The sequence below is a fragment of the Homo sapiens genome, chromosome 2 (genome assembly GCF_000001405.40).
Source record: "Homo sapiens chromosome 2, GRCh38.p14 Primary Assembly".
In the NCBI taxonomy this organism is placed as follows: domain Eukaryota; kingdom Metazoa; phylum Chordata; class Mammalia; order Primates; family Hominidae; genus Homo; species Homo sapiens.
This window is the reverse complement of record NC_000002.12, coordinates 119,567,083-119,583,639: the sequence shown is the minus strand read 5'-3', so window position 1 is coordinate 119,583,639 and position 16,557 is coordinate 119,567,083. Positions and strand designations below refer to the sequence as shown.

The following is a 16,557-nucleotide window of genomic DNA, read 5'->3' as shown; positions in this document are numbered from 1 at the left end:
TAGCTTCTGTATCATAGTGAATGGAATGTTTGTCTTTTACAATTCTTTATTACTAGTGTATTGCAATGCTACTTTTGGATTTTGATCTAAAACCCTGCTAAAGTCTTTTATGGGTTGTAAAAGTTTATCTGTAGATTTCCTTAGATTTTCTATGTAAAAAATTGTACAGTCTAGGCCAGGCACAGTGGCTTGTGCCTATAATCCCAGTGTGAGTCATAAAATCTAAAAAAAAAAAAAAAAAAAAGAGACTATTTCCTATTTACTTTCCCAACTGTTGTAATTCATGTATTTTTTTCTGATCATTGCATTGAAGACTTCTAGTATAATACTGAATGGAAGTGAAGAGAGCATCTTTTTCTTATTTTGACTTTACTGGAAATACTTTAATTTTTTACCACTAAGAATGATGTTTCTAGAAAGTTTGTGATAGCCTTTATCAGGTCAAGGAAATTTTTGTCTATTTCTAAGCTTTTTTTTCCCAATTAATGAGTTTTCTTTTCGTTAAAATTTGCTTGGTATACATACCTCTTCCATTCCTTCATTTTCAAGCTTCCTGAAAAGTTTTATTTTAGGTGTGTCTCCAGAAAGCAGGATATAGCTGGATTAAAAAATGTTTAGCAGGTAGGATAATCTTTTCCTTTAATAGGTGAGTTTAATAGGTTTTCATTTGTTACAATTAATAATAGATATATTTGAACTTATTTCTACCACCTTGTTTTGTATTTTCTAAAAAACAACTTTGCTTCATTTTTGTTCTTTTGCCTCTTGCTGGACTGATTGCTTTTATATTTCTACTTTTTTCCTCCTATGACTTGGCAGCTATAGATTGCATTTCTATAATTTTAATTATTACTCTAAATTTTTTAAAGATATGTCTTATTGACAGCTGGGTGCTGTGGCTCACGCCTGTAATCCAAGCACTTTGGGAGGCCGAGGTGGGCAGACCACTTGAGCTTAGGACTTCAAGACCAGCCTGGGCAATGTAACAAAACCCCATCTCTACATAAAATACAAAAATTAGCTGGGCACAGTTGCGTGTGCCTGTAGTCCCAGCTGCTCGGGAGGCTGAGATGGGCTGATGGCTGAAGCCTGGAACGCGGAGGTTCTAGTGAGCCGAGAGCGCATCACTGCACTCCAGCCTGGGTGACAGAGCACAGGCCCTGTCAAAAAAAAAAAAAAAAAGATATGTCTTACTTATTGAAAATTCCCAACAAAGTCTAAACATACCTAGTATTTCTATCCTCCCAAATACAGTGTGGTCAGCCCTACCTGCCTATTGAAGACTCTTTCTTACCCCTCCATCTTGTATATGCTATGTTGAGTTGTAGTTTTAGCTTAAACAACAAAAAGTACTGACTTTTAAAAATGGTTAATTAGTTAAATTTACCAACATATGTAATTAATTTTGGTGTTTGCCATTCTCCTTCCATTCCCATGGCTACTTTCCAAATATGTTTTTCTTCTTGCTGGCATATTCCTTTTAAATTTTCTTTTAGTGAGGATTGTGTGTGGGAAATTCTTACGTAAATAAACTTATTTTTTATTTTCTTCCTTGGGAAAAATTTTAGGTTGACTGTTTATTTTCCCCTGGCATTCTGAAAATATTTACTCCACATCTTTCCTTAATTGTTTGTTGCTGATGAAGAACTGCTGTCACTTTTTTGTAGATTATCACTCTTTTCTCTCTGGCAGCTTTTTAAGGTTTCTCTTTTTTTTCTTATTTATTTATTTATTTTTTATAGAGATGGGATCTCACTTTGTTGCCCAGGCTGGTCTCAAACTCCTGGGTTCAAGTGATTCTCCTGCCTTGGCCTCCCAGAGTGCTGGAATTACAGGCAAGATTTCTCGTTATTCTTGATGCTCTGCAGCTTGACTCTTACGTGTCTAGGTAGAAATTTATCTTTATCCTGCTAGATATTCATATTTGAATGCACTTACCAAATCTTCATAATTATCTTTAATTCTGAAAAGCTTGGTATTATTCTATACCATTCCCTCCACTCTCTCCTGACAGAACTCCAATTTATTAGACACATATATCTTGGAGCTTTTCAGTCTAGCTTCCGTACCCCCTAATTTCCCTTCATGTAAAATGTAACCTCTATGTACTCTATACTGGGTGAATTCCTGTATTATTACTATCTTCCAATCTATTAATCTTTTCTTCAATTGTGTCCAGTATAGAGTTTATTCAGTCTATTGAGATTTAAGTTTTCGGTGACTATATTTTGAATTTTTAAGATTTCTAAATGGTTCTTTTTATCTATCTGATCTTTAAAACAATGTCCATCTATTTTTGTTTCATAATTTCTTGACATTTTAAAATGGAAGTTTGCCTCAATCATCTCATTAAGAATCCTAAGTGTATCTATTTTAAAGTTTTATTAAACTGTTTTTAATAATTAATTTCATTCAATTATATTCTGATTGTTGGGTTTTGGCTTTCTTAGCACAAGATTTATTCGTGTGTTTTGGAATTTGGATTTGCAGGCTCATTTTGAGTAAAAGGATTTAATCTATATTCAATTTTATAATTGCATATTGGGGTTCCTGCCAGCCAGCTATTTTAGTGCTACAGTGAACTCAGTCACTGGGCCAGCAGGTAACATGGCTCACCTCTGCACCACAAGCTGGTTAGTACTGTCCCTTACACTGTCCTCTGTCCACAACCAGGGACGAGGCCCCAGGCCCAGGCAACAGGTCAGCAGAGGGTTTCCAGCTTCCTTTCGTGGGAAGTGCAAAGGTGGGGCAGCTTACCTCTTCTCCTGGCTGCAGGCCAAGTGCGGATCCCCTGAATCAGTGAGACACTTGCAGTCTCCTTTACCCCATGGAGTGGTCTCCAACACTGCCTGACTGCTTCAAAACCTGGAGCCTGCAAGCCTGTGGCTCCACCCTGCAACCCACTCAGCATTTCTATGCTGTTCCTGCTCTGTGGAGTTGTTCAGCTTGTTTCTGAGCCTGAGTGTGTCTTTTTGGAGGTCTCTTTATATTTTGTTTGTCACTAACTAGTAATTTTGCACAAAAAAGGTTCATTGCAGTTTGCGCACACTGCTTCATCCTGACCAGATGTCTCTAACTGTACTTTTGAGAGATCTACACTCTGAATGCAGAGTTCCTAACGTCAGGCAGTGCCCTGTTTCTAATTAATTTGCACTGGTACTTGTTTTTAAAACATTGTTCCTTAGCTATGATGTCTCTTTGAGAGGAGCGTAGCTGTACTGTGAGCACATGAGATCCCCAATAGGGTATAGGCCTGCATCAGACTTTATATACTCATGTTCAGGGGCCCTAGGTTTCTGATAAAAATTCTGAATAAGGGTCACCGTACAGTGTATGGTCTTCAGTCAACAGTAAAATGAAAACTTCATAGGATTGTCTACCAAACTCACAAATCCTGTCTTAAATCAGGCTCTGTTAGAGGTATGCAGTCAATCTTCACTCTGTGAGATGTTTCCTAATTCTGAAAAACAGAATATATGAAGGTAAGGCAATTCATGCTAACAGGTGCTCAGGCCCCACTGAGTGTCAGCTATTCTACCAGCGCTGGGTAGATAAAACTAACATTACAAGTTAGTTACACATGCGTGTGAGGTATTTCTGACCCTCAGAACCTAAGCAGGCCTTGGGTAATGCGCGATGTGAAGTGTTGAAAGGCCCAAATATGGTCTTTGAAGATGACGCCAGTGGACTCACGCAGCCACACAGGCTGTGTTGCCCTAGGTCAGTAACCCAGGAGTCTGCTCAAAGCTGTCCCGGCAAAGCAAAGTCTGATACTCAGGGCTCCTCTGCTAAAAGCTGCATGTTTGCATTTTCCTGAATTGAAACAAACAAAAACTCCTGGAGCTTTTCCCATTTGTTACATATACTCAATTTTCAATTAATTTCACAGCTCTGATAAGTCCCATAGAAAAGGTGTCAGGGTATTTGTTTAATAATAATTATTTGAAGCCAAGTTCCTGATGCATTAGCCAGTCTGGAAAAACAAACAGTTCCTTAAGGGCACAAAATTCCAAGTACCATAATTCAGAAGCAGATATAGCAGTGCAAGTAGTACAGTTTTCAGTGGAATTGCTGAACTTTTGCTTTCACTACTGCTGTGCATATTATGCATGTCAAATTAGTTTGCATGGCCACCATAATCATAAATCAAAGACAGTCCAGATGAATTTGAGTCAAAAGGAATTTTGGCTAATATGAAGTTTATTTAGAAGTTCTTCATATTTAAAGAGACAGAATCCTATTAGAGTCTGGGTGGAATTTTACATTTTAAACTAAATTCTCATTGTTAAATACCATTAAATCTGATATACAATGAAGAAACATATATATATGTATATATATATATCTCGTGCCTGTTATTTCTGAGAAGTGAGTAGGATACTGAATTAGAGCTCTTCTGTAACTTAGAGGAATCAGGCAACTAAAATATTAAGGCAAGTACATGTTAGTGCTTTTGGAAGTAACTACAACTTTTATCCCTCTTACCTTATTATTTAAACATTTTATCAATTATGCTAAGGCTATACATAGAAATATATTAAGTACTTTAAAATAATTATCCCTTATTTGAATAAAATTGAACTCAAACCTTTTAAATGGTAGACTTTTATATTACAATCATGTGGAAATTTTATGCCTATTAGAAGAAAGCAAAATTTGCCTTACAGAAAGCAAATATAATAAAATGACTTAATAGAAATTCAAATTTCTTTCTTGTCCTTTCTCTAGAACAAATGATCTTGAACTTACTTTAACATAAAATCAAATATACTGTCTAATTAAAAATATACTCTAACTAAAAATTCCCGATATCTAGAGAGGGGGGTGAAGAGGCTAGTTTACCATAATAGGATTTGGCTTCTTTTCTGGAAAAAGAAGGTTAACTGACAACAAGCATGACAAATGCTAACTTTTTCCACGATGACTAGGTTCAGAGGGCACAATAAATTAGCCATTAGTTATTATACTTGTATGAAATTTGAGGGAAACATCAAGATAAAAGAAAGCCTTCACACAGAGATGTATGGATAAGGTAAGCTATAACATAGACAATAACATGTGGTGGTATCACTACCAAGTGAAGCTTGGAGTTAATAGGCCCAGTGATCTCATTTTAGGGTTAAGTCAATTTAGTAGGACTTTTCCATTGTCAACTGCTCATTGATATGAGAATCATTCATAGATCAAAGGATGTGGACAACAATGATGTATCGTGTGCCATTCTTTCCCCTCTGAAGGTACAGAAGACTCAGGAAATAATCCGAGCCTGGGCAAGCTTTGGGGTTACCTGTTGTGGCAGGTTTCAAATAAGTCTACAAACTCTTCAACACTCTTTCCACTTAGAGGTGGAGTCTATGTGTTCTTCCTTGATTCTGGGCTCTAGGACTACTTAACTAATAGAATACAGTGGAAATGATGCTGTACCTGTTTCTTAAGGCCAAGGCCTAAGCAACTGGTATCTTCCATTTCTCTTGGGATGCTCATTCTAGAGCCTTGTCACCATGTTGTAAGGAAGCCCAAGTAGCCTGTGGAGAGACCTACCAGGACAGAACCAGACTTCCAGCCCTCAGGCCATCTGAGCTCCCAGATAATAGCCAGTATTTGAGTGGACCATCTTGAGAGTGGGTCTTTCAGCTCCCAGTTGAGCAGCCCTAGCTGGCTGTGCATGGAGCAGAGAGGAGCACTCCCCATCAGGCCATGCCCAAGTTGTAGATCCATGAGCAAAATAAATTACTGTTGTTATAATACATTAAGCTACTACCTTCGGGGTGGTTTTTATACAGAAAAAGGAAACCAAAGAACATTCTCTTTCCTGCTTCATTTCTCCTTCAGCGAATGATTATCTTACCCCATTTCTGGATGCCATCTTAATTTGGCAATCTTAAAGTCTTTGTTTTGGTACTATCTCTTAATATGTACCAGCTGTTGTGCTTATATGTCATCTAACTCTCTTAACAACCCTATGAGGTAAGTACTATTATTATCCTCATTTTATAGATACATAAACTGATCTATAGAGAGGTCCAAGGTCACATGGTTAATAAATGGTGAAGTGGAGTTTTCAAGCCAGGTCTCTAGAACCTGAGCTCTTACCTGCTGTACTATAGCCCCTCTTGTAGGTCTCTAATATTACAGAAAAGCTCCTGGCATTGCGTTGTTTACATTGCAGTCCCCTTCCCTCCTGCTGCTCTCTTTGAAACTGATCCCTCTGTGCCTTGTTTGTTAAGCTTTTTAGAGGGCATTTCTTCTAATAAGCAACCATCAAAAAAGGACTATAACATCCCACTATGGACTGTTTGTGTCTCCTCAAAATTCATATGTGGAAGCCCCAATTCCCATGATGGAGGTGGGGACTTAGGAAGGTGATTTGGTTTAGATGAGGTCATGAGGGTGGCACCCTCTGATGGGATTAGTGTCCTTTTAGGAAGAGGAAGGGACTGGAGCCCCTCCCCACCACCCCATGTGAGGAAAGCTGGTAGAGGGCCCCCACCAGAGCTCAGCCATGCTGGCCCCTGATCTCACAATTCTCAGTCTAGATATGTGAGAAATGTCTGTTCTTTAAGCCTCCCAGTCTATGGGAATTTGCTATAGCAGCTGGAGCTGAGGCAAATGCCAAGACCTTTTATAAAATGTTACCAACCTCCTCTCAAGGACCGGCATACACATAGAGAGAAGGAAGAAAGTCAGGGAACTCGCCAGTTATTTTCATTTAAGCTTTAGATATAAATTGCTATATTCAGAATGTGATCAACAAAAACAGAAGGAAATAAGACACAATATTAGCTGTCTGATTAAACCCTAATCCCCAAAGAAACGGGCAACAATTTGAAGAGCTATAAAGAGCTGAGGGTAAAATAGGTTTTAACTTTCAAATAATGCTCTTTTATCTAAGATAATTTATGTTCTTTTGAACTTTCCTGTGTTGCTTATCTTGTTTTCAAAGACACAATCAATCTCACTGGGATTGGAGCCTCAGACCAGAAGTACGGTAGTCCCACAAACTTTAATGATATAATCAAATAAAGATAAACACAAATTTACATAAAGAAACGTTTAAGTAACAAGCATTTACTTATTTTTTACACCTAGAGAATTAAACACCACCCTCATTTTAGATTAAACTTAGACCAATATTAGAGGTAAAGGGAATCAAATAGCAAACTAATGCAGAAACAGAAAACCAAATACCGCATGTTTTCACTTGTAAGTGAGAGCTGAATGATGAGAACACGTGAACACACAGAGGTGAACAACACACCCTGGGGCCTATGGAGTGTGGAGGGTGAGAGGAGGGAGAGGGGCAGGAAAAGTAACTACTGGCTATTAGGTACTAGGCATAGTACCTGGGTAATGAAATGATCTGTAAAATAAACCCCTGTGAAATGGGTTTACCTGTGTAACAAATATGTGCATGTATCCCCGAACCTAAAATAAAAGTTGAAGGAAAAGAAATGAAGTTAAAATTCCCAAATAAAACTTTAGTTTAAGGTTAAAAGAAAAAAGTGAGTGGAATGGAAGAGTCAAGGGGGCTTGATGGTTTCTCTCCTGGCCTGACCTTTGACTTCCTAGCTCTTAGTTCAGTTCCCTCTTCAACCTGACTTAGTCCCACCTATTGGTAAAGCTGCTCCCACCCCTCCACCTTCACCTCTGTCCCAGAAATTTAAGAAAAGGAAGAATTCTGAAGACACTAGGGAACAAACTGAATTAAATAAGGCCACCTCTTCATACTTGGTAAAGGAAGTGAAGGCATTTCTCTGGAAGCTAACTTGAATTCAGAACAAGTTAGAGGTGACCAGATGACATGATATCTGTCATCTGCAGAGATCATATGTACCCTATTCATATTTCAAAAACACAGGTTTTTAAAACAAATGTGGTAAAATGTACATAATATAAAATGTACTATTTTAACCATTTTAAGTGTACCATTCAGTGGCATTAAGTACAGCCATGCTATTGTGAAACTATTACCACTGTCTGCCCACAAAACTTTTTCATCTTGCAAAACTGAAATGCTATATTCATTAAACACCAACTCCCCATTCTGCTTCCCCACAGCCCCGGGCAACCACCATTTTATTTTGTCTCTGTGAATCTGACTACTCTAAATACTTCATAGGAGTGAAATTATACAGTATAAAATACTGATGAAAAATTAAATATTAACTGCACTTAAGATGAAAGTATTAATATAATTAACACATTTGACAATAGCTCTTTGCACCTCACCAGAGTTGCAGATAACATGGAGGAAGGTGGGGTGAGGAAGGAGATTCAGGAGGGCCGACTGGAGGTGGGAGCAAGGGCCTGTGGCTGGGGCCCGAGAACACGGCGAGCTGGCATCAGGAGCGAAAGCCATGGTCGAGGGGAGGAAGGCAGCTAAGATGGATGTGAAGGGACATGAAAAGCATCCTGCAGACTAATTTCTTTTTTTGTTGAGAAAACTATAGCATTTATTGGGGAAAGATAAGAGGACACACTAAAAACTGCTGCTAGCCTTTTCTCTTAGAGTAGGCAGCAGAAGAAACCACACACTGACCATCTTCAAACCACACTTCCTCAGAGCTAAATGACCCATAATAACGTTTGGCCTGAAACAGCCGGCAGGATCCCCAGCTGCCAGTTTACTGGTCCCAATACCTTACCCACCAGCAATAATTAAAACAAGAAGCTCACTTGGTGCTGGAGTAAGAAATCCATTTTTAAAAAACAAAGCAACTTAAATTCAAATACTTGTGGTTTTGAAATTGCAGTATATAAGAATCTGGGGTGAGAAATTTGGGGCAGATTTAATTTAAAAAATTATTTAAGAAATTATAGTCAGTTCAGTGAATGGGTTGGTAGTTACTCTATTCTAAATATTTTGACAAGCATTACATAATCACATGCTAGAAACTACATTAAAAGTGCATGTATGTGAGTGTGTGTGTGTGTGCATGCATGTGTGTGCAGATACTACAAACCTGGGCTGCTGCAGCAGAAGCAGTGGCCAAAGGTGGCTACTTGTGCAGTGTTCAGGTGTCAGGTTTGACAGCTGTATTAATCAGGCAAGGAGGAAGAGAACCCAGAAAGCACTCTCAATGTAGGGGTGTCTCTCCAGGGCCAAAAACCATCCACAACTGTCACCTTTGCTCCTTCCAGGAATGTACTGTGGCGCAGACTCTGAAATTCCCTATGTTATATTCTTAAATATTCGTGGGAATTCATCCATGAACACTTTTTCTAATAGTAGTTTAAAGTTTCTTACTTCTCAGTACTGATACTAGCTTGGTAGTTTCACAGAAGCCACAATGTGTACATGCTGTTGAATGTAATGAATCATTCCAAGAGTTTATACAGACTAGACAGAAAACCCTAAACAAGAAAAAGGTTCCACCTGTAACCACTGCCCCTGGTACATACAATCATCTGCTCTAGACGTTGTTCCCAGATTTGTACCACTCCACCCCTTGGCCTCATGCAAACCAATTGACCCATTTGCACAAAGTCTAGGGGAGGAGAGCAGAGTATCACCATTTTCAAGGTAGGCTTTTATAAGGTCAACACTGGCTTTCTTCATCTTAGGTTTTTCAGTCTATCATTTGCTTTCTCTAGGAACCACAAGTCTAGAATTTAACATTTTGTGAGAAAATTTTGAAAAGAATAACCCAAGTCTTCCACTGAAAGTTCCCTTTGTTGACTATATCAAGGTGGCGCCCACTTCGGTAAATGAAAGGAAGAAATATGTAGGCCCTTTTATTATTGCATTACAGATCCCTATAGTTTAGAGGTTGGATGATTTTCTTTTCTTGCTAAAATTCATAAAAGAGACTGGGTCAAGATGAGTAACTAGACTGACATTAGGTCAGCAAAGGTATATTAAATTAAAGAAGTTTTACACAACAATGTATGGAAGAATTTTTCCTATAATAAACATTTAGGCTTTTTAAAAATTCTTTACTTCTTAGTGATGAGGTCTCGCTCTGTTGCAGGCTAGAGTGCAGTGGCACCATCAGAGCTCACTACATCCTCGAACTCCTGGGCTCAAGTGATCCTCCTGCCTCAGCCTCCTGAGTAGCTGAGACTACAGGTGCACCCAGCTAGGCTGTTGTTAAATGACAAGAATTGTTTTATGCAAATATCAATTTGCAATAAAAGCTCACTGTGGATTCTACACCCAAATAGGGGTGAAAGTAAAGAACGACTATGTCGTGAGCTCACGTCACCCTGGTCAGATGCTTTCATAAAATGCTGCTGCTCCTTTCCATCAACTTCAAGCTTGGGGCACATAAAATGAGTCCCTCATATGAGTAAGCAGTGTTTCCCTTGACAAGCTGAAAAAAGTGAATTTTTTCTCTCCGAGTAGGGAGGGCTTCAAAAAACACTTGTGAACATCAATTTGATCGTCTTCTCCTGACATCTGCATTTTAACCCAGTTACAGCTGGTTCTCAGCCCCCTCTCCTAGAGACTGTTTATTGGCACAATGCAAGACTGGGGGCTGTCTACGTGGGGGCAAACTCTCACCATCAATCTTCCTTCTTAGCACTAGCTTAAGAGTGCACATTCCCATGTGGCCCAGATGCTTTAAGCTCCAGGGGCAGTAGGAGAATTTGGTTACACTCAAACATCATATTCTGACCTTGGTTGTTCCCACGCTTTCTAAAAGGAGCCATAAGATTCACTAAGTAAGGAAAAGCATCCTTTGGTAAATTTCTGACCTTATGACATAAAAGTTCAAGAAGCTAAAGTATCCTGGCTTTGGAATGGAGTCACCAGGAGCCTCTTCTGTGAATGTTGTTAATGTGGCCCTGCAGGCTACAGAGCCTCTATAGCCTTGAGATGAGTACATGGTCCACTTGCTGCAGGAGCCCATGGCGGCCTTGCCCATGGCATCATTTTACCAGATCTTCAGCCACCAGATCCACAGTGGATCCTCTCCTGGATTTGTCATCACTTCCCCAGGTGAGTTTCAGGCAGGTTTGTCTAGAGCACGCTAACCAATTGGTTAAAGTCATCTTGGTGCAAGGAAAATGAGTTGATGGGAGAGCAACTGGTCAACCAACTGGACCTGCTCCAAGTTTCAACTAGTTATCTGGTACCAGGAAGACGCTGTTGGGTAAACTACAGAGCATGATGAATTAACATGAATCTTTTTAGAACCATGGGAATGGAAAAATATAAAATTTCTGTATCTAATATAAGCATATCCATATTTACTTATTATAAGAAGATTGAGATTGTATTTTATCTATAATACTCTTTAAGATATTGAATAATTATAAATTTTAACCAGCCATAATGGTTAGGATATCTAGTTATAAAGCACAGTTTCAACCTACAGAAGGGAAAGAGAACTGAAAGTCCTCTGCACCCCACAGATGCTGTGTTTGACTTGGAAATGTTGGACAGAAACTGGAATGCAACTTTCTGTTATTTACAGAGGCTGTCAAAATACATTTTACCAGACCTCAAGCCACCAAAGTTGTTTATAGGTGGCTGGCAAGTGCCCACATAGAATTTTATCTCAGTAAGGAAAATTTATAACCATCAAATCCAGCCACTGAAAATGCATCTGACGAATACATACCAGCCCAATTCAGGACCTTGGGGAAAATGTGCTGAGGTCTCATCCTACCCTAAGAGAGGTTCTCCCCAGACTGCAAAAGCAGCCCCAAAGTAAGGGGCAGCCCCAAAGTAAGGGGCAACCCCAAAGTAAGAAAGCAGAATTAGTGGTATTAAACACAAATCCTACAACCTCTGACAATTCTGTCCCAATTGATTCTATGTGAAAGGGAAAACATACCCTTCTGAATTCACCTTTTGCTGAATTTATGGTCTCCCATCAGCTTTGTGCTTTCTCATCATGTACAGTATTTCTTTTTTAGCTGTGAAGTAGTTGTTAGGCTGGGTGTGGTGGCTCACGCCTGTAATCCCAGCACTTTGGGAGGCCAAGACAGGTGGATCTCTTGAGCTCAGGAGTTCAAGACCAGCCTGGCCAACATGGTGAAATCCCATCTCCACCAAAAAATACAAAAAAGTTAGCTAGGTGTGGTGGTGCATGTCTGTGGTCCAAGCTACTCAGGAGGCTGAGGTGGGAGGATTGTTTGAGCCTGAAAGGCAGAGGTTGCAGTGAGCCGAGATCCTGACACTGCCCTCTAGCCTGGGTGACAGAGTGAAACTCTGTCTCAAGAAAAAAAGCTTGAAAAAAAAAGTGGTTGTTGGCCGGGCGTGGTGGCTCATGCCTGTAATGCCAGCACTCTGGGAGGCGGAGGTGGGTGGATCACCTGAGGTCAGGAATTCGAGACCAGACTGACCAACAGGGCGAAACCCCGTCTCTACTAAAAATACAAAAATTAGTTGAGTGTGGTGTCGCACACCTGTAGTCCCAGCTACTTGGGAGACTGAGGCAAGACAATTACTTGAACCCGGGAGGCGGAGGTTGAGTGAGCCGAGATTGCACCACTGCACTCTAGCCTGGGTGACAAGAGTGAAACTCCAGCTCAAAAAAAAAAAAAAAAAAAAAAAAGGGGGTTGTTATACTAATTTAACGGTGTAACCACACCTAGCTAACTTTTTTGTATTTTTTGGTGGAGATGGGATTTCACCATGTTGGCCAGGCTGGTCTTGAACTCCTGAGCTCAAGAGATCCACCTTCATACATTGCTGGTGGAAATGTAAATGGTACAGCCACTTTGCAAAACAGTCTGGCAGTTCTTAAAATATTAAACATAGATTTACCATATGACCTAACAATTCCACTTCTAGGTATTTACCAAGAGAAATGAAAATATGTATCCTTATAAAAACATATACACAAATGTTCATAGCACCATTATTCATAATTGCCCCAAAGTAGAAACAACCCATATGTTTATCAACTGATGAATGGATAAATAAAATGTGTTATATCCATTAAATGAAATGTTATTCAGCAATGAAAAAGAATGAAGTAGTGATTTGAGTTGGATAAGCTACAAGTTGATGGCCTTTGAAAACATGATTGCAAAGTGAAAGAAATCAGTCACACTAGACCTCATGTTGTATGGTTCCATTTATATAAAATGTCCAGAACAGGCAAATTTATAGAGATGGAAAGTAAAATCAGCTTTGGCTGAGGCTGGAAAGTTTGAGAGTGGGATATAGGTGTTGGTATGGGTTTTTTTGGGGGGGTTATAAAAATGTTCTAAACTTGCATGTGGTGATAGTTGCATATACTAAAAAAGAGTGAATCGTACATTTTAAATTAGCAAATTTTATCATATGTGAATTATACCTGAATAAGACTTTTTTGGAAAGTATAAGTGTGTCTTTGTTCATGCTGTGAAATCAGAAAGAGAAATACCCAGTTCTAGCTAGCTCTAGTCTTCACATGGGAGAATGAAAAGACTTAGCTCCAGCCCACTAGCCATTCTGTCTCACCTAAGCAGGTGAGGGACAACTAAGAAGTACTTGTGAAGTTCACAGTCCAGAGGCACAGGCTCACTAAGAGACTGAGACTTAATCACAGGATTGTAGAATACCCTCCTGCTGTGACTTTACCAACACATTATAAAAGTCTGCTTACAGCAGTTCCTTTTACCCAGTACATGATGTCTGGCTATCAAGGAAAAATTACAAGACATACTAAAAGGCAAAAAACAGTTTGAAGAGACAAAGGAAGCATCAGAACCAGAAATGGCAGAAATGCTAAAATTATCAGACAGGGAATTTAAAACAACTATAATTAATATGCTAAGGGCTCTATGGATAAGTAGACAGCATGCAAGAAAAAATGGGAAGTGTAAGCAGAGAGATGGAAATCCTAAAGAAGAACCAAAAAGAAATTCTAGTGATCAAAAACATAATAACAGAAATGAAGAATGCCTTTGATAGGCTTATTAGCAGGTTGGACACAGCTAAGGAGAGAATCTCTGAGCTTGAGGATATATCAATAGAAACTTCTAAAACAGAAAAATAAAGAGGAAAAAAGACTGAAAAACAAAAACAAAAACAGAATATCCAAAAACTGTGGGACAACTACAAAAGGTATATTATACATGTAATGGGAATGCCAGATGGAGAAGAAAGAAAAAAAATAGAAGAAATATTTAAAACAATGCCTAATAATTTCCATAAATGAATGTCAGACATCAAACCACTGAGGATAAATGCAAAAGAAAAGAAAAAAAGGCAAAAAACCCTACACTTAGGCATACTGTCTTCAAACTACAGAGAACCAGAGAGAAAAAAAAATATTGAAAGAAGGCCGGTGCGGTGGCTCACATCTGTAATCCCAGCACTTTGGGAGGTCGAGGTGGGTGGATCACAAGGTCAGGAGATCAAGGCCATCCTGGCTAACACGGTGAAACCCCATCTCTACTAAAAATACAAAAAATTAGCTGGGTGTGGTGGTGGGTGCCTGTAGTCCCTGAGGCAGGAGAATGGTGTGAACCCAGGAGACAGAGGTTGCAATGAGCCGAGATTGTGCCACTGCACTCCAGCCTGGGTGACAGAGCGAGACTCCATCTCAAAAATAAATAAATAAATAAATAAATTGAAAGAAGTCAGAGGGAAAAAAAAATTTCCCAGTAGAGAAACAAAGATAAGAATTACATCAGACTTATCCTCAGAAACCATGGAAGCAAGAAGAGAGTGGAGTGAAATATTTAAAGTGTTGAGAGGAAAAAAAACCACCGACTCAGAATTCTGTGCCCTGTGAAATTATCCTTCAAAAGTGAAGGGGAAATAAAAACTTTCTCGGACAAAAATGACCAAGGGAATTTGTTGCCAGTGGACCTGCCTTGCGAGAAACGTTAAAAGAAGTTCTTTAGAGAAAATTAATATAATATGGGTCAAAACTTGAACTTACATAAAGAAAGAACAATCGTTGCAGCACTATTCACAATAACGAAGACATGGAATCAACCCAAATGCCCATCAATGATAGGCTGGATAAAGACAATGTGGTACGTATACACCATGGAATACTATCCAGCCATAAAAAGGAATGAAATAATGTCCTTTGCAGGAACATGGATGGATCTGGAAGCCATTATCCTCAGCCAACTAACACAGGAACAGAAAATCAAACACTGCATGTTCTCACATATAAGTGGGAACTGAACAATGAAAACACATGGACACAGGGAGGGGAACAACACACACTGGGGCCTGTCGGGAGGTGGGGGGCACGGGGAGGGAGAGCATTAGGAAAAATAGCTAATGCATGCTGGGCTTAATACCTAGGTGATGGGTTGTTAGGTACAGCAAACCACCATGGCACACATTTACCTATGTAACAAACCTGCACATCCTGCACATGTATCCCAGAACTTAAAATAAAAATAAAAATAAAAATAAAGGAAGAACACTGAAGAAGGAAAAAATGAAGGTAAAATTAAAACTTTTATTTTTTATTTTTAATTGATCTAACAGCTAACAGTTTGTTCAGGATAATAGCAACAATGACTTCAATTATGTGTTCTTATGTATATATCTTATACGTTCAAATAGTCACAGATATGTGTATACATAATGCTAATGTATACTTATATATAAGTGAAATGAGTGACAGCAGTTATACATGAGAGGAGAGGAAGAAATTAGGATTATTTTGCTATCTTAAGGTACTCAAACTATCTGTGAAGCAGTACAGTGTTATTTGAAAGTGGCTTGGATTAGTTGTAAATACATTTTGCAAACTCTAGGGCAACCACTAAAAAAAGGAAACAAAGAAATATAACTGGTATGCTAAAAGAAAAGAGAGAAAATGGAATCACATAAAATACATGGTTAAAACCACAGGAAGATAAATAGTGGAAGATAAAAAGAGAACCAAAGTACAAGGGCAACAATTACAAAACTAACAAATATGCTAGATATTAATAGAACTATATCAGTAATCACTGTGAACATCAGTAGTCTAACTGCACCAATTAAAGGAAATCATCAGAGTAGATCACTGTAGACATTTTGGAAGATAGTTTGGTAGTTTCTTTTAAAACTAAACATACTCTTACCATACAATCCAATAATCATGTTCTTTGGTATCTACCCAAAGGAATTGAAAACTTACATCCACACAAAAACCTGCATATGGATGTTTAATGCAGTTTTATTCATAATTACCAAAACTTAGAAGCTGCCAAGATGCCATTCAGTAGGTGGATGAATAAGTAAACTGTAGTACATCTATACTATGGAATATTATACAGCACTGAAAATAAATCAGCTACCAAGCCCTGAAAAGATATGGAGGAAACTTAAATGCATATTTTAAGTGAAAGCACCCAATCAGAAAAAGACTAAATACTATATGATTCCAACTATATGACATTCTGAAAAACTATGGTGACAGTAAAAAAAATAAACAGTGGTTGCCAGTGGTTGTGGGGGTTGGAGGAGGAATGAATAGAAGCATGGGATTTTTAGAGCAGTGAAAATACTCTGTATGATACTACAATGGTGGACATATGCCACACATTTGTCCAGACCCACAGGCTATACAGCACCAAGAGTGAACCCTAAACTATGGACTTTGGGTGATAATGATGTGTCAATGTAGGTTCATTGATTGTAACAAATACGGCACTTGGGTG

The 16,557-nt window shown here is 38.8% G+C and overlaps 1 protein-coding gene across 12 annotated transcripts in view, besides 3 other annotated features; it reads right to left on the bottom strand.

Annotated features, from left to right (window-relative positions):
- Positions 1-16,557, bottom strand: part of CFAP221 (cilia and flagella associated protein 221) — a 115,875-nt gene that overhangs the window by 76,684 nt on the left and 22,634 nt on the right. The gene's annotated exons all lie outside the window — the stretch shown is intronic.
- Positions 8,942-9,051: a silencer, noted in NCBI's record as "silent region_11908". NCBI's record gives its function as "represses an Ori minimal core promoter by ATAC-STARR-seq in GM12878 lymphoblastoid cells {active_cell/tissue: GM12878}" and the evidence as "EXISTENCE:reporter gene assay evidence [ECO:0000049][PMID:35858748]".
- Positions 9,282-9,331: a silencer, noted in NCBI's record as "silent region_11907". NCBI's record gives its function as "represses an Ori minimal core promoter by ATAC-STARR-seq in GM12878 lymphoblastoid cells {active_cell/tissue: GM12878}" and the evidence as "EXISTENCE:reporter gene assay evidence [ECO:0000049][PMID:35858748]".
- Positions 9,462-9,511: an enhancer, noted in NCBI's record as "active region_16452". NCBI's record gives its function as "activates an Ori minimal core promoter by ATAC-STARR-seq in GM12878 lymphoblastoid cells {active_cell/tissue: GM12878}" and the evidence as "EXISTENCE:reporter gene assay evidence [ECO:0000049][PMID:35858748]".